Below are 27572 nucleotides of genomic sequence, written 5' to 3' on the forward strand. Positions count from 1 at the left end.
GACCAAGGTTCTATCATGCGGATAAAGCCTCTAGGTAGCAGGCTTCAGAAACAACAGATGTAAATGTTTCTTGTCAGACTTAAAGTCTGTGTTGATGTTAGTTCTGGTTGGTTTTTTCCTGAATTCCAAAAGGGAAGAGGGTACAATGAGGCATGTCTGGCCCACCCCTCCTTCCCATCATGGCCTAAACTTGCTTTTCAGGTTAATTTTGGAATGCCTTTGGCTGAGAGGAAGGGTCCATTCAGATGGTTGGGGTCCTCAGAATTTTATTTTTGCTTTACATTCTCCCTCTTCCACCTAAGATTTGCCAGAGGCAACAGCAATGTCTACCAAATTTTTATTTTGTCTCATACCATTGTGGGGGTGGCATGGCTGCCTGCTTGAGATCCACCCTGTCCCTCAGTGGGACCCCCTATGGCCAAGGTACTTAGAGTCAAAAGACTTATAGCAAATTAAATGTTCTAGGCCAGATAGGAATGGACATGGACAAGTATTCATTACCCCTTAAATTTTTTTCAGTAAAAAGTCAACAAACAGAAAGCCAAAGGCCAGGTTACAAAACTGACTTATCTTTAACTTCTATGCATTGAGCTACTATAATCTTGGTTTTAGTTATGGACTTATAGCAATTAGCTACACAAAACATAAGCATTGCTCTGAAAAATAATTTTTTAATATATACTGACCAGGCACCGTGGCTCACATCTATATTCCCAGGATTTTGGAAGGCCAAGGTGTGTTCATGGCTTGAGCCCAGGAGTTTGAGACCAGCCTGGGCAATATGGCAAAACCCTGTCTCTAAAAAAATACAAAAAGACAAAAAGCTAGCCAGGTATGGTGGTGCATGCCTGTAGTGCCAGCTACCTGGGAGGCTGAGGTGTGAAGATCACCTGAGCCCAGAAGGTCAAGGCTGCAGTAAGCCTTGATGGCACCACTACACTCCAGCCTGGGTGACAGAGTAAGACCCTGAGTGAGTCTCAAAAAAAGAAATAAATAAATGAAAATAAACTTTAAAAATACATATCTATCTATCTGCACAGCTCATAACTGGGAGTCTTATATCCAGAAGGCTTTGTCACAAGGTATCTTTATCCTCTCAGTAGTTATTTTCTTTTAATTCTACAAATAGCATGACATTCTTCATGGTTGGGCTGGATGAAAAGATGCCTCATAATAGCTCAGAGGGCAAAAAACTTTGTTTTACCAGCTGTTTAGGCATCGTGTACCCATCCTTGGTTTGGATGATCTGAACTAATTCACTTCCTCAAACCTAGCCCTTACAATCTCACACACCCACCTCTTCCACAACAGTCCTTAGGCCTAGAGGGAGGGTGCTTGTATAGTCTTAACAGAAGGGCATTTGCAGTGAAAAACAGATCGGGCTCAGTGGGATGACAAATGAGAGAGATTTGCATCTCTAGTCTTGAGAATACCATCATTCCAGTTTCCTTGGAAGTAAACCAAGGAGAGATAAATAACATTAATATTTTGACAATCAAAAGAGTATTTGTGTGTCAGAATGGAAAATGGAAGCTATCTCATTAGGGATTCAACTAAAAATGTAAAGAAAAACTATAATCCGCTATCTCTTTAGAGGATTATTATAGCCAAGAAATAATTCATGATTCAATCTGCATTCAAAAACAAAAGTCAGGGCTGAAATCCAGTAACAAGTGTTAAATTTTTCCTTTGAAACAATTTTTCTCTCTCTCTAGCCCTCCTTTTCTATTAAAGAGAAATTATAGTAAGACCAGTTTGTGTGTAAAAATAAGTTTTAGGCTTATTATACTTGGCCTGATTATTTGCATAAAGTGCAGCAAGAAATTGACTGACCATATAGGCTCTTTTTAAGTTGGCTTTGCTGGAAATTTACCTGCAAATATGTTATTCTAGTCAAAGACTTGGTAAAATAATCAGTGTCTCCAATTGTCCTGTTATAAAACAAAAGACTCTTACTAAACTTATGCAAATAACTATATTGTCATAAAACCAGAATACTCACGGTTTCCAAATTTGGGAGAACTTGGAGAGAAAGGTAAATTTGCTCATAAAAACATACTTCACCCAATTGCTCTAAAGAATAAATAATTTAAAAGAAAAAGATTCTCTTGACTCTTTAACCAGAGCATCAGCCTTCCAAACAACATGTCCTTTGTTCACCTTGAATTGCCATTCACATGCTAAGCAGTTCTTGTTATATGAGAGCTGTTTACCAGGCACTGTAGAATCTAGCAGCTCCTTACAGAGTCAGAGTCAGCCCTAGGGGAAAAAGAATGCTCTCTGCTCATAAGTATCTCCTCTGCATCCTCAGGTAGCAAGATCCTATGCAAACAATTTTTACTTTATTATGGAACTCTTTGGGGTACCATTATTTCCTTTAGCAAAGGGGTAGCTTCAGTTAACATTCCATAACAAGGCAGTAAATGTCCCTCAACTGGAAATTCTCTAGTCTAGTATTTGTCATTGGGAAGTGCTCCCAGTCTTTTACCATAAGCCCTAATAAATGCTCCACAAATGGATATGAAGTGGAGAATTTGTCCCTACTAGCCCTTCAGCTTCTACCCTACATTGTGTAGGCTCAGGCAATCTTACTAGTTTCCATTTAGTGTGTCCAATTAACATTCCTCAAAGGGCACATTTACATGACTTCAGTTTCATAGTACTTGATAGGAGAAACATCCCCCAATCAGATACAATACCAATTTTCACAAGATATTTAGGTGAAGAAGTTAAAATTACCTTACATAAAGGCTGTTTAGACATCTCAAATTTCATAATCCTATCAACCTGTACATTTTTATGTTCTGGTTTGAGGAACTTTTCTTTTCTACCCCCAGACCATTTTACTTTTTCTGGTGAAAAATGATTTGAGTTCCCAGCAAGGGATTGAGCCAAGGGACTTGGGCTCTTTTTTCAATCTTCATCTTAATTTGCCTCAGATTTGCCCCAGGCAATTTCAGCTCCCTCATTATAACCTTTGCCTTTTGCTGTTTCTTCAATTTCCCCAATCTGGGGCAAATGCAGAAAACTGATATGGGGCCCTTTAATGTTGGAGGATCAGTAGGGGTTCCCTTTGGTCCACTCAACCCTTGATAGTGTTGTAAAGACCTTTGTTTCAACCCCATCAATTTTCATTTTATTTATTTCATTTCTTATAAAACGTCCAAATATTTTAATCACCCTCTGGGGTGAGTCCTCTGACTCCCTTTTGCCTTTCTCATTATTCTTTGTTAATTACCCCAGTGTTTTATTAAGCATCTGTAAGACCCATGAGGACAGCAAATTTGATCAGTCTGTGATTCTGTGGTAGTAATGTCACCTGGAGTGCCCATGTAGCACTTAACCTCCAAATTTACCATGTGATATGGTTTGGCTGTGTCCCCACCAAAATCTCATCTTGAATAGTAGCTCCCATAATCCCCACATGCTGTGAGAGGGACCCACTGGGAAGTAATTGGATCATAGGGGTGGGTTTTCCCATGCTGTTCTGTGATAGTGAATAAGTCTCACAAGATCTGATGGTTTTATAAAGGGCAGTTCCCTGGCACATGCTCTCTTGCCACCATGTAAGACATGCCTTTGCTCCTCCTGCATCTTCCATCATGACTGTGAGGCTTCCCCAGCCATGTGGAACTGTGAGTTCATTAAACCTCTTTTTCTTTATAAATTACCCAGTCTCAGGTATTTTTTCACAGCAGTATGAAATGGACTAATGCAGTAAATTGGTACAGAGAGTGGAGTGCTGCTGTAAAGATACCCAAAAATGTGGAAATGACTTTGGAACTGGGTAACAGGCAGAGGTTAGAACAGTGTGGAGGGCTCAGAAGAAAATAGGAAAATGTAGGAAAGTTTGGAGCTTCCTACAGGCTTGAAGGGCTCGGAAGACAGGAAGATGTGGGAAAGTTTGAAACTTCCTAGAGACTTGTTGAATGGCTTTGACCAAAATGCTGATAATGATATGGACAATAAAGTCCAGACTGAGGTGTTCTCAGATGGAGATGAGGAACTTATTGGGAACTGGAGCAAAGGTGATTCTTGCTATGCTTTAGTAAAAAGACTGGCAGCATTTTGCCCCTGCACTAGAGATCAGTGGAACTTTGAACTTAAGAGACATAATTTAAGGTATCTGGTGGAAGAAATTTCAAACTAAAGCTTTCAAGAAGTGACTTGGGTGCTCTTAAGAGCATTCAGTTTTATTAATTCACAAAGATATGGTTTGAAATTGGAACTTATGTTTAAAAGGGAAGCAAAGCATGAAAGTTAGGAAAATTTGGAGACTGATGATGTGATAAAAAAGGAAAAACCCATTTTCTGAGGAGAAATTCAAGATGGCTGCAGAAACTTGCGTAAGTAATGAGAAGCCAAATGTTAATCACCCAGACAATGGGGAAAATGTCTCCCGGACATGTCAGAAGTCTCCACAGTAGCCCCTCCCATCACAGGCCCAGAGGCCTAGGAGGAAAAAAAATGGTTTTCTTGTCCAGTCTTTGGACTTGGTGCTCTGGGTCCCAGCCATGGGACCCAGAAGGAGCCAATGTACACTCAGGCCACTGCTTCAGAGGGTGCAAGTCTCAAGCTTTGGTTGGGCCTGCAGGTGCATAAAAGTAAAGAATTGAGGTTTGGGAACCTCTGCCTAGATTTCAGAGGATGTATGGAAACACCTGGATGTCCAGGCAGAGGTATGCTGCAGAGGCAGGACCCTCATGGAGAACCTCTGCTAGGGCAGTGTGGAAGGGAAATGTAGGGTTGAAGCCCCCACACAGAGTCTCCACTGGGGAACTGCCTGGTGGAGCTGTGAGAAGAGGGCCACCATCCTCCAGATCCCAGAATGGTAGATCCATCAACAACTTGAACCATGCACTTGGAAAAGCCACAGAACACTCAACACCATCCCATGAAAGCAGCCAGGAGAGGGGCACTGTACCCTGCAAAGTCCCAGGGGTGGATCTTCCCAAGTCCATGGGAACCCACCTCTTGCATCAGTGTGACCTGGATGTGAGACACGCAGTCAAAGGAGATCATTTTGGAGCTTTAAGGTTTGACTGCTCACTGGATTTCAAACTTGCATGGGGCCTCCATCTTCTTCATTTTGGTTAATTTTTCACATTTGGAATGGGTTTATTTACTCAATGCCTGTATCCCCATTGTATCTAGGAAGTAACTAACTTGCTTTTGATTTTTTTTGATGGCTCCTAAGTTAGGACTTTTGGGTTAATACTGAAATGAGTTAAGACTTTGGGGGACTGTTGCGAAGGCATGATTGGTTTTGAAATGTGCGGACATGAGATTTGGCAGCAGCCATGGGCAGAATTATATGGTTGGGCTGTGTCCCCACCAAAATCTCATCTTTAATTGTAGCTCCCATAATCCCCATGTGTCATGGGAGGGAACTTGTGGGAGGTAATTGAAACATGGGGGTGAGTTTTTCTGTGTTTTTCTCATGATAGTGAATAAGTCTCACAAGCTCTAATGGTTTTATAAAAGGCAGTTCCCCTGCACATGCTCTCTTGCCTGCCACCGTGTAAGATATGCCTTTGCTCCTCCTTTACCTTCCGTCGTAATTGTGAGGCCTCCCCAACCATGTGGAACTGTGAGTCCATTAAACCCCTTTTTCTTTATAAATTACCCAGTCTCAGGGATATCTTCCTTTGAAATAGATACAAAACAGTTTGAAAGGTGGAGGAATCTATGGGAAAGAGAAGAGAAATGGGGAAAGGACTCAGTCTTTTTTTTAAATACCAAATGACTCTGGCCTGAACCAGAAATGCAGTTACAAATGAGAATAACTTAAATTATCTGATAATTATAGTATTTACAACAGAAGGGGAGGGAGTCACCTAGTGCCCCTCTTCCAGGCTGGACAGACATCAATCCTACTGCTAGGCTGGATAGATGCCTATTCACCTTACTACTTGTAGGGGTCTCAGGCCTCTAGGCAGTTATGGATTCTCCTGGCGTGAGCAGGTAGAGGTGGTGGGATTGCCTGTTTTATGCAGTGTCCTAACCTTGGCCCACCACCCTGCCCTACAATACCATGAGGTCTCTGGAGCTCTTTCTGACTTGGAGGCCTTCCCTCTTTCTGTGCTGAACTACCATTGGCCTTTGGAGTATTCTGTACAGTCCAACTGCACTTAGGGCAGGAGGGATTTCCCCCACCCAGTTTCCCCTGAACTAGTCCCAAGACCAAAAAAGAATTACTTCAGAGGCCAGTGCCACTCCAGGACAGTGAGCAAAGGGGAGGGGAGAGGTTACAGGGCACTGAACTGGATACTAGTCATATTCAATGGGAGAATATCCCAGTTATAAAGACAGTTTCACATGGCTTGCATATGAAGCATATCAACTACATTATCTGGGGTGCTCCACTTGGCATTTTATAGGGATGGTTGGGAAGTCCCATTTCCAGAGTAAACAGACCTTACAGTAGCAATTATCCAGTCAGTTAGGCAGGTTGTTCTCTTATGAATAACCTCGTATACATTTGGATCACATATACTCATCAGCAATTTAATAGTGATTTGTGAATCCTGCATCAACCCAAACAAGCTCTTTCATTTTGTAGCCTTCAAAATAAAGGATTCTTTCCTTAAAGTAGTTAAGGTTTCTCAAGAAGCTGATTATATTGATCTACAAAATGGAACAATTACTTTGCATTATACCCTCTGGTTTTAATAGTTACTTGGTTTTGCCCTTCCCACATATTGACTATCTTCTTGGTAACCACAGCTCTCAGAGGTAACTTTTGTTGCTCTGGTTTAATTTTTCTTTCTGTGGGTAGCTTGGAGTCTAGTGGCTTGAGCTGGGACAGACCCACCTCTGGGCCTGATCCAGCCTTAAGGATCAACCCAGCATTCTTGTACATTCATTTAGCAATTACAGATAACAATAACCAAGGGATTGAATATTTTTGCTTTTTTTTTTTTTATTAGTTTGCATCTCCTTATGCATTTAGAGAGCTAACTCCTCGGGAGCATAATCCATCTCTAAATTCTAATGAATTTTATCTTTTGTAATTGAATGTAGCTCAGCTGCATCTCCCTACCATAGGTAACCACATGGCCACCCTGGAGTCAAGGTTTCTCCTCACTCATCTTTTAATTTCTCTCTTTATCCATTTAGTTTTATCTATATAATATTTTTATCTTTACTTAAAATAACTCTTAGAAAAAAAAATTCTTTAGCAAAAGCTACATCATTGTATTTTTATAAATTTTACCAAAAACACTATTTACTCTCCTACTATTTTAACTCTTAGTAACCCAGATTCCCATTGAAAAAAATAGGAGTTATTTAATTTAACATAACATGACTTTAAGATGTTAAACTACTGGAGGTAATTTTGAGATTAAATTTACCAGATTAGTCTTACCCAAAACTACTAAGGTCATATGAATTAAAAGGCATCTTTGGTAGCTTCCTTCAGTCTGAAAAGCACTTATTTTTCTTTTAGCCAAGTGATTAGAGGTCTTTAATATAATTTGGTAGTGAAATATTACTTCTACATGACACATATAAACATATAGCTATAACAGACATACAGACAAAAGCAGATCCAAAATATTTTTCATTTGCCTATTTTCAAAAATTCTGTTTCTTAGTTTCAACTATTAACTTAAAAAGGCCAGACACCATGGCTCATGCCTGTAATCCTAGCACTTTGGGAGACTAAGGCAGACAGATCATTTTAGTCTAGGTGTTCGAGACCAGCCTGGGCAACATGTGACACTCCATCTCTATAAATAATACAAAATAAATAAATAAATAAATAAAAAAGCTTGGCTTTGTGGTGCACACTTGTAGTTCCAGCTACTCAGAAGGCTGAGGGGAGGATTTCTTGAGCCTGGGAGGTTGAGGGTGCAGTGAACTGAGATTGTGCCACTGCACTCCAGCCTGGGTGACAGAGTGAGGCCCTGCCTCAAAAAAAATAAAATAAAAGTAAAAAGTTACAGGAGCCAAACAAAGTTGAAGGAGAGAGTTACCATTCCAGGCCTTCTCAAAAGAGAAAAAAACTGAAGCAGTAGGGCACAGGTTCTGAGATATCAATCTAAATAATTTTAAAAAGAAAAAGATTATAGAATTCAAAAATTTTAAAGTCCTTGCATTAAGAGTAACTCAACATTTTTAATAAATCTTGTTCTAACCAGTTCTTTAGTGTTGCATGAGTGTACTTTTAATATCAAAGTTCAATTTTTAGAAAAACTATTATAATTTCCTTTAATTGTAGCCAACTGAATCACATAACATTTTAACAAATTCCTGTTTTACTAACCTTATTACAACTTACACAGACCATTTACAACATGCTTGGACTTTCTGGTTTGACATAAATATTTCTCTTTCTTGAACGAGTCATTTTATCTTAGGACAAAAATTCATCATGCAAGATTCTTTCTCATATAAAATTACTTTTCTTTTAAGCTTTCTTACCAAAAATACCTCTTTATAACTTTCTTTACATCTCTTATTTCCTGGTCCTTTTTACCTCATTTTATATATAATCCTTAAATAACCTCTGAATTAGACAAAAATAATTTACCTTTGAATAAGAACACTTTAGACCTTAAGAAGAATCTGCCCATGACTCTTGAAACTCCACAGAGAAAGAAAGGGTGAGTGATGCCTTTGTTCTGAGTGTTTTAAGGGGTTCAAGTCATTTGATGGCTTCTCTAGATTTTTTTTGGTACCAGACAGTGAAGGGGGAAGGAGAAATAGTGTGGAAGAAAAGAAAATGAAAGAACAATTGTGTTTTTAAGACAGGAAGCTGCAACAGAAACCAAGCGCATAATTTGTTTGTTTTCTTTTTTTCAGTTATGAGGAATTTTAGCAGCTTCAGAGGTCTGGCTGCTCATAATTTGGAATTCTCATTTGAATTTGGCCAAGTTGGGTACAGTTGGTCAAATCTGATGGGAGAAACACCAGAACAACAAAAAACCCCAACAATATGATTACTGAGCACTCTAATGCTAAGGAGAAATTAAGACTAGCCGGCTGTCAATTCTAATTTTTAGTCATTAAGGAGAATCGCTGAGATAAAAAAAAAAACCCAACTCAGCTACTTATCTAGGAATGAGACCCTGGCTCAAGACTGCTGTTTACCATCTTACAGGCAGGAAAAAAAAAGCTCAAACTTGCCTTCCCTGTTGGAAATTAGCTGAAACTCCAGAAAGGAGTTGCCCACGCTCCATTGTCATGGAAGCAGGAAAACTTGCCTTCTTTGTTGGACACAAGTAAAACTAAAAAATAGGAGTTGTAGAGAAAAATAAATTTTAGATCTTAACCAAATTTAGGGGATTGGGGATTCTCTGGAGTGGGTGGGGGCTCCCAGGCCTCAGCAAATTGTCCTATCAGTTTGAGCCATAAGGATAGCTCAGGCTGGTACCAAGTACCCACAGGAGATTCATCAAAGGTCAGGGGCACCTCCACTCAGAATCCTTTCATGGCTGCTAATTTGTGAACCCAAAAGTATCTGAGACAGGTCTCAATCAATTTAGAAAGTTTATTTTGCCAAAGTTAAGGCATGCCTACAGTATAGCCTCAGAGAAGTCCTAAAAACATGTGTTCAAGGTGGAGTACAGCTTGCTCTTATATATTTTAGGAAGACATAATGCATCAATCAATACATGTAAGATTTACATTGGTTCAATTGGGAAGGTCAAGATAACTCAAAGCAGGAACTTGCAGGTCACAGGTAGATTTTAAAATGTTCTGATTGGCAATTGGTTGGAAGAGTTATTATCAATAATAAAAAATTATTTCCTGTTTACAATCAGGGCTTGTGGAGACCAAGGTTTTATCATGCAGATAAAGCCTCTAGATACGCAGGCTTCATAGAGAATGGATATAAATGTTTCTTATCAGACTTAAGGTCTGTGTTGATGTTAATGATGGTTGGTTATTCCTGAATTCCAAAAGAGAGGAGGGTATAAAGAGGCATGTCCAACACCTCCTTCCCATAACAGCCTAAACTTGTTTTTTAGACTAACTTTGGAAGGCTCTTGACCAAGAGGAGGTCCATTCAGTGCTGGGAGCAGGGGGTGGGAGGGTTGAATTTTATTTGTGGCTTAGAGGCTGTATATACTGATTCATAAACTACCATCTTTCTCACTGTGTCTTCACATGGCAGAAAATGCAGTGAATCTCTCTTAGTCCTCTATTATAAAGCCACTGAACCCATTCATAAAGGCTTTACCTTTGTGACCTAATCACCTCTCGAAGGCCCCACTTCCTACTGCCATCACCTTAGAAATTAGGATTTCAACATGGGAATTTGGATGGGACACATTCACACCACACAATACATCTAAGCCAAAATTTATCAATTATTTTTGTGAGACCTAAATAGAAATTTATGTGAAAAGGACCTAGAAATTTGAATAGCATTCTTAATATGAATCAAAACTGATTGACTACAGCATAGTATGGCCATATCTCTAGCTATTTTTTATATTGAATACCATTTGTGGATATTCTCTCTTCCCACTATAAACCTTCTCAGAGTGTATTCTTAAGAGCAAACTATTTTCACCTAGTTTTATAAATCAGATTTTATATTTAAAAGCAAGTCCTACTAAATCAAGTACAAATCAAATTTGGAAAAATAATTTATTCTACTTTACATGTTAAGAAAAGAAATTAGATGGATCATGACCTCATTGCTTTTCCCCTAAAACACATGGGTTGCCTAACTAGTTTGGTTTTATTCGCAGAGTGAAAGAAATCAGTGGCTATTCTGACTCATGTCTAGTGCTAAATAATCTCTGTATTTATAAAGCTGGTCCTACTAGCTTCTAGCAATAATGCCCTTTCAACTTATTTCAACAACAAAGTTTAAAGCAAATTTGTTAAAAATAGTTCTTTCATGCTTCCTAATGAATTTTGCTTAATGAGTATATTTCTAAGTTCAGAGAAACAGAGAAACCTAACTTGCTATTAAGCAATTGCCTCTCACTTTTACCTGATAAACTTGTGCTTACAGCATTTTGTCTTAACATCCACATTAATATCTAACCTTGCTAAACTCCAAAGCAATCAAAAATTAAAGACCTCTTGTTTATAAATACCACTTGACTTTTCTCCACAAATGCTTTTAATATTAATAGCTAATATTTATTGAAAGTTTACAATATTCCAGTCATTGTTTCAAACATAAAAGAATCCTATAAGGTGGGAATGTTGCTATTACCCTTTTCAGATGAGAAAACTGAAGCACAAAAAGTTTTTCTTAATTAACATACCATTTCAGGCAAGTCTATTTTTTTTAGATTTATATCATAATTCTCCAATTTTGTATACATGTTTAAATTTCCCCAACACACATATAAATGGAAAACAAACTTCTGATAGGGAGAAAATGAGTGACAGTGTCTTAGTTTTGAAACCACTTGCAGGCACTAGCTATAGAATCAGGACAAATGTCCAGATCCCTTGGTTTATCATAAATTCAAATTTGTTTGAATATAAATGACTTTGAAGCTAGAAAACAGAATTTTCTCTGAAATAGAAAAAAAAATCAGAACAGCTGACAAAATGGCCATTTTTCTTACAGGAAATTATTGTTATGTTGCCAAAGCTTAAAGAAAACATTTGTTTTGCTGGGTAATTGCATACAAATCAACAAAGCATTTCTGTGCAATGAGCCATTTTCGGAGAGTGACTCCCACATTTCTCTGGGTTAGAAACCCTGCAAGAGTGAGCATGGCCTTTGATCCAGAAAAATAAATCCTGCCACAGTATGTGTGCCTGGAAATTTTTAGGATCCTGTCTTCCATTTAAGTCTCTCAAAGCCATTTAGGACTAACTTGCCTGAATCAATAATCCTGTGTAGACACACCCTCAGTTATAAAACCAACTTCTTTAAAGCAAGAAATTATCAATAGAACAGGCAATATGGCATTAATATTAGATCACTTCATGCAGATAGGAGCAATTTTACCAGGACTGTCGTATTTTAAAAACTAGTGTACATGCACATATATCCACATACAAAAATTCCATACCTTCAACTTGGAAAGACATCTTATTCTATGGGTTTCAATTCTTTTCTCAGTTTCTCCCATGTTGCTCTTCAGGGTGTTCCAAGCTATTTATGTTTTAAATCTTGATATGTCTTACTTCTACCCTTTCAAGCAAACAAAAAAATATGTTAAATTAACTACAAAATTGTAAAGCATCATTCTTTTGAAGTAAGTGCTGAAAATGAACAACATAATTGAAATCCATTGCATTACAAAAATACCTGGAACGCTTTAATACAGATTAGAAAATCATGGTGTTAGAGAAGATTTAGTTGTTGGTTTTCTATTTCAAAAGGTACATCAAATAACTTTAGTGACTCTTTAGTGAGATTAAAGATATTAGAATTGTTTGTTATGATCTTGCAAAATAATGGTCACATGGTTAAAAGAAAGCTTTTCACTTCTCTAGCCAAAACAAATAGTACCAAAAGACTTCCATGAAAATAGCTACTTTTAATAACACACATACTTTGAGTTGTGTTTGTACTAAAAACCTGCTTCACTAACCCTACCAAGGCTCAAAAATCTTTTTTTGGCCAGGCTCTCTTTTCAAGTTATTTGCATTCCAAGGCTTCCCTAGAGTCTCAGGAAGGGAAACACTTTCTGGGGCACTGCTGATACATGGAAACCTGGGGAGACACGGAATTTTAATCATGAAAACAACCTAGTAAAAATAACAAACAATTCTATGATCTGGAAAATAATCCCACGATTGCAAACTAAGATGTAAGACTTAGGAGATTAAACATATAAATGGGTATCTATATGTAGCTATACGTAATAGGTATAGATATATGTGGAAATATATGTACAGATGTATAACATACAGGCACACATTTTTATATGTAAAACAAAAAGTTGAATTAAACTCAAATAAATTCTACTAATCCCATCAAAGATTTTGTTTGTTTTACATCTTGAAACTAAGGCAATAATTTGTATCAAAACCAAAGTGTTTCACTTTGGCAATATTTATTCTAGTTTCTAGAATGATTTCTTAACAGTATCCCCAGCATTAATTAATTAAGTCCTTTAAACAATATCCATTTAACAAGTGATCCTGAATGGCACTAATTTTTTAAAAAACCAACTGCTTTACCTCTACAAATGTGCTGAATCCCAAACACACACACATCAAGGCATAGTCGCTGCACTATTATGTTTGAGTTTTGTTATTTTAACACATTCTCTCACAGATACAACAAATACTTATTGAACATCTACTCTGTGCCAGTCATGGTGCTACGCACCAGCATTCAGCAGTGAGCAAGAAAGCCAAGTACGTGCCTACAGAGAGTATAAACTAGCGAGAGAAGTATGTTTCTGTGGAAGATACTTGGACCCAGATTCCAAGGAACTTAAACTTTCATTGGGAAAGATAAAACTTTTAAATAAAACACATTGGAATAGAACCAGACAGTGTAGAAGGAAATGCAATTTGCTTGGTATGTAAGTGGTGAAAAAATTCACAGGTTATTGTTCTGAACTGCCCTCATTTCTTTCTTCTCGTGCATTTAGAACCCAATCTCTCTCCCCTTTTCTCTTCTCTCTCTCCTAACCATTATCTTAGCCCAATATAGTCACCGTATCAAACACTAAGGGAGAGAACTTATTCTTCTCCCACGTCAAAATTGCCTTCACTCTTCTTTGTGGCTAAAAACATTACTATATTAAATGTCTATTTTTTCATATATAGCCAGAGGGCATAAAAGCTGGAGGTAGTGCCACAGAAAATCACCATATAGGGGAATTCTATATAGTTCCCTCCATGAATTGTGACACTAAGTAACCATCTAGAGCAGGTTTTTTCACTATGTCTGGAAGATTTGCTTCAAAATGTTTTAACATATTGAAAAAAGGGGTTAAAAAACTATTATCTTAACTGAAGTAAGAGGTAATATTTAAGGCTAAGCACTTGAAAAGAATTACATGGGATTAAATTAACCCTAAACTTTCCCTAGTTTTCCAACTTATATGATGAAAATATTTTATATTTTCAGATACATTTCAAACATCTTCATGGAGGAAAATAAACAAATTAACAAAATCTATTCCATTTATTCAATAAAAATCCATAAAATCCAACGGTTAATATCATAGTCATTGTTGTCCATCTTGGCCCCAAATCAGGAAATTCCGTGTGCCGTCTTTTCATCTTCTCGAGGCTGTGCTAGTGCCAGCCATGTGAACAGTCCTCTTTTGTTAGCACAGTGTTGTTTACACAGTGACTTCTGCTCCCAGGACCACACAGTGTCACCAACAAATCCCTGTCAATCATCACTTCTAATGAAAAAGACATGCTGAAGTTTTATTAAGTGGAGAATCATGTTATTTCCCTAACTCTTTCTCAGCATTCAAATGGGAACAGGTAATGCTTCAGTATGCTTTCTCACACAAACGTTGGATTTCTTCCATGCCTGCTGGTCATAGCTCTGTGTTGTGTTGTTTTTCTGTTTGATTGGGATTTTAAAAAACACACAAATAAGAGGAACTCTACTCTCTTACATTTTTAAGTGCACAGTACAGAATTGTTAACTATATACACATTGTTATGTAGTAGATCTCTGGAACTTGTTCATCTTGCATGACTGTAATTCTATATCCATTGAACAGCAACACTGGGGCTTTTGACACCTGTTGGCTTCCAGCCCCTAATGATGTGTCTCAATCACAAGATAATACAAAGTTTTATAAAACAATAATACAAAGTTTTATGAAACAAATATAAAACAAATCTTGTTTGTGCTCTTGCAGTATTAAACAAATTAATATAGTTTGTGATTGTTAGAAATCAACTGGGAAAAAATGCTTGTGTTTAATTTTACATTATTCTCTACTCTCAAATTAATGAAATAAAGGCCTTACTTTACAGCAAAGCTAGTAGTACATACATGAAGAAGACTTAGGAGATCATCCTTTCCCTAGGGAAAAAAAAAATTTACACTAGCAAAAATCTTATGAAAATCACTTATTTCCAGGATCTTGAAATGGCTCCTAGCTCTGTGAGACAAGAACAGCCTCTTGGGTGGTATCCAGCTGAAACAATTTCAACCAATACTAATCCAAGCAAGTATGTGCCAATGAATTACATGTAGAATCAACAATGGCTTTTTGTATTTTGTCTACCAAATTATTTTACTTCTATTGGTTCATTTTCACCAGAAACTAAAGAATAAAATAATAAATTCTGCAATTCAGTCTTATAAATATAAGTATTATTTTACTTTCTAGATTCAGAGGAGGTACTAAGAATGTATTGCTTGGAAAAACTATGGCAGAAACTTAACTGAGCCATAAAATGTTATCCATACATGTGATTTCACCATGCAAAGCAAAGACTGGAACTCACAAAAACACAAGTAAACACTTTCATCAACAATCCATCAGTAAAAATACCTACCCTATCACTTTAGATAATGTACTAACTCTAGATAATAGACCAAGCAACAGAAAAGTAAAGTTGAAACCTGAATTCTGTGTTTAGGGGAATTGGTTGTAAATATCATCAATGTCACACACCATACCAAGTAATTCTAGAGAATGAGTAGATAATCATGTGGCTAACCAGCATTTTCCACACTTGATAACAGGATGAACTCCTTTACCTAAGTCTAGTTCTGACTCCTCTATGTGCTCTAGGCCTCAGTCTTGGTGTCCAACCCTCTACTGCCTAATTGTAGTGAGAATCTTGCTAAGTCTGTTTGGAGAGAATCCCTCACTCTTGATATCTGATCATCTTGATAGTTGATCAAATTCTACATCCCCCGGAACCCCCCAGGCGATATCTGATCATCCTGGCCTTCAGTCAGTAAAAATCCTGTCACATTGGTTTAGCCACAATCCCTCCTTACTCCCGATGTTTCCTCTTAGTAATTTTCCATCCCCTGGCCCCCACCCTGCTGCTTGGCTAAAAATCTCCATCTGTCCAAGCTATATTCGGAATTGAGCCCAGTACTACACTGAGGTCTCTTTTCTCCTATCGCAGTAGTCCCTTAATGAAATCTTTTACCACTTTACTGTCCAGCTCTGATTTTAGTTTGGCAGCAATATCAACTATGTCATTTCTTCAGATTATTATCCCAATTCTTATTTTCCTTTTATCTGCGTAGACTAGGTAAGTACAAACATATGTATTTCCATTACGTGCCAATATATGGCATGTAAACACTGAGCTGCTCCTTTTTCTCATAGAGACAAGACTTTATCTGTTTATAAGGCTCAAAAAAAAACCTGAAAATTCAATAAAATGATTTGAGTTTTTTCCAACACATTTATTTATGTATTTTTCACATAAATTTATGTAGGGAGGCAGCTAGACATAGTCAAAATAGCAGACCTTGTAATCCACTTAGCCTAGCATTAATAGCAGATTAATTGTGAGCTGTTTAAACTCTTTGAGCCTATTCCTCATCTCTGATATTGAAATATTTATGACTACTTTGCAAGATTGTCATGAAGATTGAGTTATAAAATTTACATAAGACTCCTTGCAGGGCTGCTGAAATAAAATAGTCACTCTGTCAATGACAGTGATTACTACTCATTTATTCTACAAATATTTATTAAGAATCCACTACATTCCAAGCACAGTAGTAGGTACTGGGGATACAAAGATGAATAAAATGTGCCTGCTCTCAAGTGACCTTATAAACAATTGGGAGAGATAGATAGTTAAGTGATGATGATAGCTAGTTAGTGCCATAATGCAGACAATTTGAGCTAAGTAATAGAAAGAGGTGATTAATGAAAACTATTCATTTGGGTATTCATTTGAACGATCACTTGATTGCAGCATAGTAGTTCAAATACTTGGGCTTTGAAATTAGGTACAACTGGTTTGAAAGCCTGTTTTTAAACTAGCCGTGTGTTTTTGTACAAGTTACTTAATATTTCTACAAAATGAAGACAGTCTCTATCTTTGTCAAGGTCCTGATAGGAAAATAGAACTCATAATAGATAATTTAATAGAGGGATATTATATGGAAAACTAGTTATAATGATATAAGAAGAGCTAAAAAAAATTGTGGGATTGTGGGCAACTCAGAGATTTACAGCAGTGGAAAGTCACTCCCACTCCAAAGGCTATATCAGAAAAGGGAAGGGCTGACATGCAGGAAGCTGTGAGAGGCAGAAATACCTTGCTTTCCCCTTCTCCACAACCCCAGTCTCACACCAGTACTTCCCACTGACATACATAAAAGGAAGTCAGGTGGCATTGGAGTGGAAAACTTAGTTTGCAGGAGTTATTCTCTTGGGATACAGAGAGGATCAGAGGATAGGAGAGAATGGGTGTGAGGCCAGATAAACAAATGACCAACACAACCATAATCATTGCAATAGAGTTAGATGAAAGATGTATGGTATATAAACATATAATATAAAATTAGCATGCAATCAACATTGAATGAAGGGTCGCTATTCATATTTAACAACATAATTTCAGTCCTCAATGCTCTTCTGATTCTCAGTAAGAAAAAAATTCAGGAGATTTACAATGTGCATAATTGGTCAGCTCCCCACTTTACATATGCAGGCATTGCAATTTCTATGTCATACCAAATAAAACAAAATGTTGTTGTCAAATCAACTGATTTTTAACCAACCTGCATACATTAACTAATCACTGTTGCATCATGTAAACACAGTCATAGTCACCAAGTCTTCACATAGCAAAATATATACAGTTTGCTTATTTAGGTTATGTGTGTGGGGAAAATGTCCAAGGACTGACTTGATGATACATACACCGTATTTGTTACCATTGCTTTGTTACCAATGCTTCAGCAGCCAGATTACAAACAGTACATAATTTTGTAAGGCATATAAAAATGAATAGTAAAATGTTTCCACGTTGGAAGAAGAAAAAGAGAAAAGGAAAAGATTAATATTGTTTCTCATTTTTAGTATTTGCCTCCGCATATATTTAGCTCCATTAGCACAGCACGCCTTTCCTCTCCATACCCCAGTCACTCATGTGGGTAACACTGACGTAATCCAGTGACCACATGGAAAGTCCTTCTATTTGGAGTTTCACTATGAGGAAATCCACTTGCCATTGGATCCTCTAATTTAAGCCACATTTCCTACTATGAGCTTGCCTAGTGGTAAAATTGACACTTTGGACTCCACGTGCAATACTTGTCTGTCTCGGGTTTAAAATGATTTACAATTAAGATGGAGAAAGAAAGGTGGTATTTACTAAGCACTTTCAAAGACCCCAACATATAAGAAAAGGATGAAGAGGCAGCTAAAGGGCTAGCACCAAGTTGGAAAGACACAAGCTTTAATATAACATACAATGTGATGTTGCTTTTTGTAAAACTATATACAATTAGAGATAATAATAAAAATATAAACAATATATACTGCTTTCCATATTCCAAGCACTGTTCTAGGGGCATTGCAGATATCAACCCATTTAATTCTCCTAAAATCTTATGACATAAGTATTATTCCCAACTTTAAAGATGTAAAAATTAAAGCACAGAGAGGTCAAGTAACTTGTACAAAGTCACACACCTTATAAGTGGCAGAGCCAGGATTCAGACTCAGGAAGTCTGGCCCTAGAGAATCGTAACTACCCTAAGCTACCTCTCCACAGGTGTGTGTGGGTGTGGGTATGCCTATTGATGTATTCATTTAGATAAAACACTGGAGGACCTAAACCAGAATTTTAAAAGTGGTTATTTCTGTATAATCTATAGTTATCCAGAAAGTGGATAATCCTGTGGTTGATTTTATTTTTCCTTTAGGAATTTCTATGCTGTTTTCCACAAGGATCATTATGTTTTCACCAATTAAAAAGTCATTAAAAATCATTGGAATTGATTCTTTAAAAATGTAATAAGAATATAGAACACTTTGATCCATGTTAATGCTGTGTTCTTGACTACTTCAGGTTTTGGTATGTTTTCTTGTTTCTCTAATTATTGTATTTTGTGTTGTCCAAGAACCTCTGTCAGTCTCCAATTTTTCTGCCTTTTTTTATTACTTAGAGTGTAATTTAGAAAACTGGCCTGAGGCAGCCATAATGTTCCTGACTGGAGTCACGAAATATTAGTTAGAGCTAGGACGCATCCAGCGTTGATTCCCAGAACTTCTCAAACTGGCTGCATGTAGTTCAAGGTCAGGATAGTATCCATTCAGATTTCTACTTTGGGACGAGCCAATAATCATTTAAATCATATAAAGGAAACAGTTTGGAGCTCTATGTATGTATAAAATGGTTCAAGGTCGGGATAGTGTCCATTCAGATTTCTACTTTGGGACGAGTAAATAAAATGATGATTTAAATCATGTAAAGGGAACAGTTTGGAGCTCTGTGTATGTATAAATGAGGCATGGGATGAGGATTAATCGATGAGCATGTGCATATGACTCACCTATCCTTCCCTTTGCCACTCAGCTGAATACCGTTTGTCAGCATGGTGGTTTGGATCATTAGACAATTTTAAATGATCTATATTTGTGGTTATATGCTGTTTTATTTCTACCTCTAATGGACCATGGCTAAAGGCAGGAAGCATAAAGAGCACTGGTCTCAAAATATAACCTAATGAGGAGCATAAAATGATAATGTTATACATTTCTCTCAAGATTGCCTTCATCTGATCAGTAAATTTCATTCACCTATTCAAAATATTTACCTACTACCTCATGTTATTTTTCCACTGCTTCAAGACCTATTTTTGAAAAAAGAGTAATAGGATGGAGAATTTTACATAAGCAGGCTTTTCATATTTAGAGAAATATGCTTATACAAAACCTACTCTTATTTCTTCCATTTTAAACTCCAACATTATTAAACAAGTGTATTAATATATTACACTTTTAAAATATTTTAAGTATAAAAATTCCAAACATAAAAAATCAGCTTCCTCTTATTTTAACAAATTAAAACATATAGTAAACTCCAATCTACAAATATGACATAATGTCATCTATAAATTTATTTCTTAACAGGCCACGCTTTTTCTCTCAACATTAATTTAACATAAGGGGTGTATGTCACAAATTAAATAGCACGATATATAAGACAAAGAATATTGTCTTCATGTTTAATATTACCAAATGTAATAAATAAGTAAATTTTATAATTATCTACAAGCATATCGATCTAAAATTAAACATTTTAGATAGAATCATCTATTCATAAAAAATAAAACCTTTTTTGAGAATTAATTAATATTTGTAACTAACATCTTTGGTGATTACTGAATATATGGGATGAAAGAGGAGGAGGAAGTATCAAAGATGATTCCTAGGTTTCTAGCTTGATAGTACCAGTACTTGCGATAAAAAATTAGGACAGAGAGCAGCTCTAGGGGGAAAAGTACACTCAATTTCAACATGAACATACGCTCATACTTACGCTGACATGACCTGTGCGTCACATCCAGGTGGGTATGTCCTGTGGGCAGTAGGACATGAGTCTGAAGCTCAGGCAAAAGGCTAGAGTTACACATTTTGGAATCTTCAGTTTAGCAGAGGACTGTGGCACCAGATGTGGAAAGGCAGGGAGAGAGACTTACTTAATTGACCTGTTGCTTTGGGACTCTGTAGATACAAACTTGTCATGCCATTAGGTTCATATTTTCTTGGGCCATGGAGACATGGTTGCCCATTTTCTCTGACATCTCCTTAGAACATTTTCAGAACTAAATATTCCCAGTCCTATGATCATTTCTACTTGTGCTGAGAACTAATTACAAATGAGACTTAATATCTCTTCACATATAGCACTCATGGCAAGGTCTTGTACGCAGTAGGTGATCAATAAATGTTTGTTCTTATTGCTTATATTCATCTGGCTCTTCATGTACAAAATTGGCCCCTTTTTTCTTGCAGGACCTTCTTTCTTGCTTCTCAAGTGTAACTTCTTACAGCTTTCTAAGACAACTTCAAGGTTAAATGCAAGTGGGCTGTTCTTAGTAGGTAGTTGTCTTCCATTCATCAAGATTGAATGTTTGCCTTATCACCACAAATTGCTTATTGCAGGATTTGTGAACATCTATTTCTTATCTTAGATATCCCTTGAGTACCTCATTTTGCTACTTTTCAGCATGACATCAGCTAACCAAAGAACATTCTGATTAAGGGATAACTAATCCTCATCCTCCTTTCCAGAAAAAAAAATATGTATGTTTATAAAACACAGGAGAAGACTCTCCCCTAGCTTACCTCATGCAAAGGGAAAATGTTAATAATGGACATTTGCATTGGAATGGAAATAGGGCAGAGCAGAACAAAATTTTGCAATACCTTTCAAATCACACCCACTAGATGGACACTTACTGTGTCTACCCTCAAGACCAGTTGTTATGCAGAAAGTATGAAGAATGCCTATTAATGGCTGAAGAAAAGCAAAGGAATCATATGGGTCCAACATATTCCTTTTGCCTGATAAATAGTGTCCTTTAAATATGATAAAATTACTGATGAGCGGTAAAAACTTGAACTTTCATAAGTGAATTCATGAATCTTCAAAAATTAGATAAATCTTGTTTACTGAGTGACCATTTGCATGTAGCATTGATGTTACAGGTACATTAAGCAACTTTATGAGCTATCAGTTGTATCTATTAAAAAACTATATTTCCTGCCTTTCGGGAACTTCTACAATGACAGAATCATAAAATTTTAGCATAATAAGAAGCTGAGAGACAATATAATCCAAGGAAGAGCCCTCTCTCCTTAATCCATCATACCAGAAACCTATGTTTCTGATACTCGGCTTCATGGAGGCCTAAGTTACAGTAGTTCACCTGACTCACTTTCCATAGTGTTCCATACCTTGGTTCTATTCTAGTTGCCAGAAAGCTAATCCAATTAATAAATTCATAACAATAAATTACCCCTTCTTACTTTTGAATTTGATATGCCCCTCCCAGTTAGATATATATTTTAATAGGGGCCTTTTGTTAGTTTTTTAATTAAGGAGACTGGCTCACATGTTAGAAATTTTAGCACACTTGAAGCCAAAGAGGCACATATATGTAGTCTGGGAGACGTTTTAGGACTCTTCATATAATGCTGTGAATTTCTTATCTGAATGAATGCAGCAGAAAATTATATGCATAAGAGAAAGACAAGATAAAGGAAACATATGAATTAAAGTCCTGCTCTATTCAATGTTAACAATGCATTTGATTCATCAAGTTACAGACAAATGAGATTTTAAAAAAAGAAAAGGTAACAGTTTGGGATTTTAGATTTAGAATGGGTTTTTTTCTTTACATTGAACTCAAATGTTAGTAAATCCTAGCCCTATTTCTTAAATAACTAATTGCAATATTGCTTCTACCTTTTCTTGATAAAATCACTGTTAATAATAAAGGTTCTTTCCCCAAAATCTCCTATTCCATATTTATATAAACCCAAGGAGTTTATTCATATAAACTCCATAAGAAAGGGTGGGTAAATGTTACTTTTCGTTATCATAAAAATACTAAAAGCCATAATAACACAATAAAAGAAGCTGGTTAATTTTTAATCTTCAAGCATTGGAGGGCTTTGTTTTGATTTTGATCTCTTTTTGTTTCCTGCTTGGTTTTGCTAAGTAAAATTGCAGATTTTTTTTACACTTCTGACGTTTATGGTGCAAATTCAGTTCATTCTTCTGTAAATCTCAGAAAATAAGGGCTAAATACATGTGAAAGTAGCATGTTCAGATGGAATCTGCTTTCTCCTTGCAGTAGAAACAGTAAATCATTATAAATCTGTGACTCAATTCTTATGATGTAAGCAAAGTAGTCTTGAACTAAGAATGGTCCAGGCTATTCTAAAATGTTAGAACCAGAGAAAGAGTGATGGGTTCGTTGGCATGCAGGGTTACATCTTTTGTTTTTCCTTTGGGCAAAGACAGTAACTCTGCTCATTCATCTTAGATAAATAACTAATCCTAAAAAATCAAATCATTATCAGTTCTAGGAATAGGATTACAGTATCTTGTTGAAAATTATAATTGATTTTAAATTGGTTTTTATTACATCATCATAGAAGCCAAGTTGAAACGGCTGAATGAAAGCTATGAAACAAAAATGTATTTTTTCCATTTTAAGTCTTGAAAAACAATCACAAATTATGCTTTCTTAAGTAAGTAAATTGATAACAGAATTAAACCCGAGGTCAGTAACAGCATCAATTCACCAAGTGACAAACTTGCCAAATTCACCAAATTTGCAAATTTACTAAAATTTAGTATAAGAAATATTATTTTTAAATATACACATTCTCATTAAATACATTTTAAATAATGTTCAGTTTGCCAGAAGCTGGATCCTAGGCTTATTGCTTTTTTGTGAATATTGTTAACAAATATATAGAATATATAACATGTATATATCTTAATATAGTCGAGTATAAATATGTTAATAAAGAGCATGTTCCAATAAAGCAGTTCTACAAACATAATCAAGAAGAATAAATTAATGAATATATTCTTATATGTGAAAAATATACTCTAAACACTACAATTAGGAAGAATGCATTTATGAAGAATATATTCATGCTGAATATGTTCTTCAGTAGATTATTAAATATATTCAAGAAAAAAACCATACTCATTTAATATAGTAAATAACGTATGTTTAAGAGAAGCCATATACAAAATCACTCAATATGATTATGCAGATTAATCCGTAAAACAATATTCTTGGTAAACTAGTAAATTTACTTAATTCACTATTCCAGAGGTGGCTTTCAGTGTCTTGATCTTCGAAGAACTCACCCACTTCTGCAGAACTGTCGGTGAGAGAGCTGTGCTGAAGAGCAAACACGGATATATTTTTACTGAGCACGGGATACAGATCCATGATGGATTTTTGTGTTCAGAAAAATGTCCATTGGTAGCGTGTACAGTTCAAATCAAGCCATAATTGTGAACTATGTGACTTTATTTTTAGAAGATATGTTAGCAAAAAAAAAAAACATATGTGGAACAATGACTAGGAAAATGACTTTTGTTCTTGCTTCAGCAAAAGCCCCTGGCATAGCCACCTTCCCAGCAATGATAAGTACCAAGTTACAGATTCCCAAGTAATTTTCCTTTGATTGGAGTTTGACATGTTGTGTGACCCAACCTCCAACATCATCAGATACTACATATCTTGAATTTGCAGACATAACTGAGACTGTCTGCTCTACTCCCCCATAAAAGTAACACTCACACTTCCCATGTACTTCATTTGGAAACAAGATGAATTACAAGCCATACATACACCATTGGTGCCATTAATAGTAGGCTCATTTGTATTTAACAGTAATTTCCAATGAAAATCCACCTACATAAAGAAGAACATTTCCTTCACTCCTTGTGAAAGCTCTTAGTAACATGACTGAGTCTATGTTCGGATTTGTTTCAAACATCCAAAAAAAAAAAAAGCCACTATTTATAGCCCATCTGTCAAGACTGCATTGTTTTGTAAGATGAAGTGTGTTTTAACATATAGAGGAGTCATTCTTTTGATAAGTTGAATTAAAAAGAAACTTATTGTTTAAAGTGAAACAACTTTAAAGAAAACTTGCTGAGAAAAAATTAGAAAAAAAATTAAATTTCTACTTCCTTCCATACCCCAAAGGAAATTCCAAAAAAGTTCTGGACAAAAATGTTGTAACTATTTATAGGCTATGATGGAGGCCTATTTATAAGCCTTTCTAAACACAAAACCAGAGGCAGAATGCCTATATCAAAAAGTTAAAATTTAGAGAAACAACAACCAAGAAAATAAAGTCTATTAATAGTAAATTAAGAATCTGGGGGCCAGGTGCGGTGGCTTATGCCTGTAATCCCAGCACTTTGGGACGCCAAAGGGGGTGGATCACCTGAGGTCAGGAGTTCAAGACCAGCCTAGCCAACATGGTGAAACCCCCTCTCTACTAAAAATACAAAAATTAGCCAGGCATGGTGGCGCACGTCTGTAATCCCAGCTACTCAGAGGCTGAGACAGGAGAATTTCTTGAACCCAGGAGGCGGAGGTTGCAGTGAGCGGATATCGTGCCACTGCACTGCAGCCTGGGTGAAAGAGCAATTCCAACTCTGGAAAGAAGGAAAGAAGAAAGAAAGAAAGGAAGGAAGGAAGGAAGGAAGGAAGGAAGAAGGAAAAAAGGAAGGAAGAGGGAAGCTGGGGAAAACTGAATCATATAGAACAAATTTAATAGCATTATATAAATAGCACTTATATGTCAAAAAGTAAAAGATACCACCAATGGAAATATGGACAAAAAATAGAAACAGATTTACAAAGAATAAATAGCAAACCAATTAATGTATTTTAAAATAATAAACTTCAAAGAACTTTTAATAGAAATGCCTGTAATTGCCATCTTTAATTCTTCATCTCATTACTCAACCCCTGTGACTTCCAGCCAAACCATTGTGCTATGCTTTCTTCATCAGGAAGTCCAATGAACTTTAGTGTTGCTAAATTCAACATCCACCTTTTAGTCTTTCTCTTTTTCCATATTTTAGCAATAGTGGACAATAAGGACCATTCCCTTTTTTAAAACATTTTTGTGAGTACATAGTAGGTATATGTTTATGGGGTACATGAGAAGGGGTACAGGCATGTAACCTAAAATAAGCACATCATGAAGAATGGGGTATCCATCCCCTCAAGCATTTAACCATTGAGTTGCAAACCATCCAGTTACACTCTTTAAGTTATTTTAAAATGTATGGTTAAGTCATTTTTGACTATAGTCACCCTGTTGTACTATCAAATAGTGGATCTTATTCATTCTGTCTATTTTTGTAACCATTAACCATCCTCACCTCTCCCTCACAGCCCCCCATGACACTTAACAGCCTCTGGTAACCATCCTTCTACTATCTATGTCCATGAGTTCTACTGTTTCGATTTTTAGATCCCACAAATAAGTGGAAGAATATGTGATGTTTGCCATTCTGTGACAGGCTTATTTCACTTAACATAATAATCTTCAGTTCCATTCATGTTGCAAATGACTGGATCTCATTCTTTTTTTACTCCCTTTTTTAAAAAGGGTTCTCTTCCCTTGGCTTCTATAACACCACATTCTGTATCATCCTCACCCTCATTTTCCATTGCACTTTGAGCCATTTATCAACCACAAGGAATCAAAGCCAGAAGACATCTTTATCATTTAAATTTAATATCTATTCAATTCAGCCATTTGTTATTAATAGTCATACTATCTTCCATGGAGCACAGGGGATTTTTAGGGCAGTGCAGCTACTCTGAATAATACAATAGCGGGCACATGTCATTATACATTTGTCCAAACCCACAGACTATACAACACCAAAATGAACAACTTATGTAAACTACGGCCTTCGGGTGGTAATGATGGGTCAGTGTGGGTTCACCAGTCACAACAAATGTACTACTCTGGTAGAGTATGTTAATGGAGGAGTATATACAGCTGTGGGGGTAGGAGGCATATGGGAAATCTGTGTACTCCAGTCTATTTGATGTAAACCTAAAATTCCTGTAAAAATTAAGATCTATTTTTTAAAAGGGGAGGAGAGAAGATCTGTCCCTTTCCAGATGGTGAGGCAATAATATTTGTATTACAAGAGTCACCTCTGGCCTTGTTTTCAGCCATGTGGAGGAAGTCAGTCTGAGATAATTAGCTTGAGATATAAAGAGAAGGATAGAAAAAAGATGAATAAGAGAAGAGAACAGGAAAGTTGGGGAGGGGGAAAGATAGAGACTCTTAAGAGCATTGGAGTCCTGGGTTTCTATTCTGCTGAGAGGCCCAGATGAAACTTCTACTTTTCATGTTTTGGTTATAAGAATCAACAAATTCTCCATTTTCCTCAAGCTGGCTTGAGTTAAATTTCTATCACTTGCAACCAAGGAGTTCTGAATAACATACACTGCAAGCCGTTGTGGGCCACACTGTTGCCTTCCATCTGGGCTCCCCATACGTATCCTTGCTCTCTTGTACTCAATTCTCAAACTTCAATCAGAATTATCTTCTTAAAATGAAACATCTAACCCTCAAAATGAAGTCCTCAATCTTAACATACCTTCCAAGGCCTTATGGGATCTGACCCCTAACTACCTCTCAAACTTCATTTTGAATCATTCTGTTATACTCCACGCACTAACCAAACTGTTTTCTTCTGTTTCTCCAGCATCGGCCAGTCCAGAAAGATTTTACTTCTGTGCCTCCCTGCATTGCCCTCCTTTCCCACCTTGGCTAACTTCAATTCATCTGTAAGTGCCACTTTAGGAGGCTTAATCTAACACCCTGAACCTGGAACATAACCTTAAATGCTCCTTATCATCACCCCTTTAATTGCTACTTGTTTAAAGTTGTTAGACTTTAAGTTCCATCAAAGTAGAAACTTGATCTGCCTTGCTCACCTCTCAATCACTTCCCCTTCCCAACATTCAGTGACTGGAACAGAGGAGATGCATATTAGTATTTGCTGAATTAAAAATAAATTTTGAAATACAAATTAGTTGCCGTTTTCCAATTATCAAATTGTCAAAGTGTTCTTTATTATGATAGGTAACATTGGTAGAGATCTTTCATTCACTGATGATGAAAGTATAAATATTTCAATGGCAA

At 36.5% G+C, this 27572-nt stretch overlaps 1 protein-coding gene across 42 annotated transcripts in view, besides 2 other annotated features; it reads right to left on the reverse strand.

Moving 5' to 3' along the window:
• Positions 1–27572, reverse strand: part of SLCO1A2 (solute carrier organic anion transporter family member 1A2) — a 155035-nt gene that overhangs the window by 57992 nt on the left and 69471 nt on the right. For 23 of the 42 annotated variants that reach the window (NR_170341.1, NR_170340.1, NR_170343.1 and 20 more), the window contains exon 1: positions 2003–2168. Coding sequence is in view for 10 of the 42 variants with exons in the window: in NM_001386880.1 (NP_001373809.1) it covers positions 11997–12056 (60 nt within the window). In the remaining 32 variants the exon portion in view is untranslated. Of the gene's footprint in view, positions 1–686; positions 799–2002; positions 2169–11996; positions 12327–27572 lie in introns of those variants that run through there. The other 19 variants (NM_001386939.1, NM_001386880.1, NM_001386887.1 and 16 more) reach the window with 6 other exon arrangements.
• Positions 1862–2379: an enhancer, noted in NCBI's record as "NANOG hESC enhancer chr12:21477387-21477904 (GRCh37/hg19 assembly coordinates)". NCBI's record gives its function as "activates a minimal SCP1, AML or CMV promoter by ChIP-STARR-seq in naive and primed H9 embryonic stem cells {active_cell/tissue: H9 hESC(naive and primed)}" and the evidence as "EXISTENCE:reporter gene assay evidence [ECO:0000049][PMID:30033119]".
• Positions 16315–16821: an enhancer, noted in NCBI's record as "NANOG hESC enhancer chr12:21491840-21492346 (GRCh37/hg19 assembly coordinates)". NCBI's record gives its function as "activates a minimal SCP1, AML or CMV promoter by ChIP-STARR-seq in naive H9 embryonic stem cells {active_cell/tissue: H9 hESC(naive)}" and the evidence as "EXISTENCE:reporter gene assay evidence [ECO:0000049][PMID:30033119]".

The sequence above is a fragment of the Homo sapiens genome, chromosome 12, assembly GCF_000001405.40.
Source record: "Homo sapiens chromosome 12, GRCh38.p14 Primary Assembly".
In the NCBI taxonomy this organism is placed as follows: domain Eukaryota; kingdom Metazoa; phylum Chordata; class Mammalia; order Primates; family Hominidae; genus Homo; species Homo sapiens.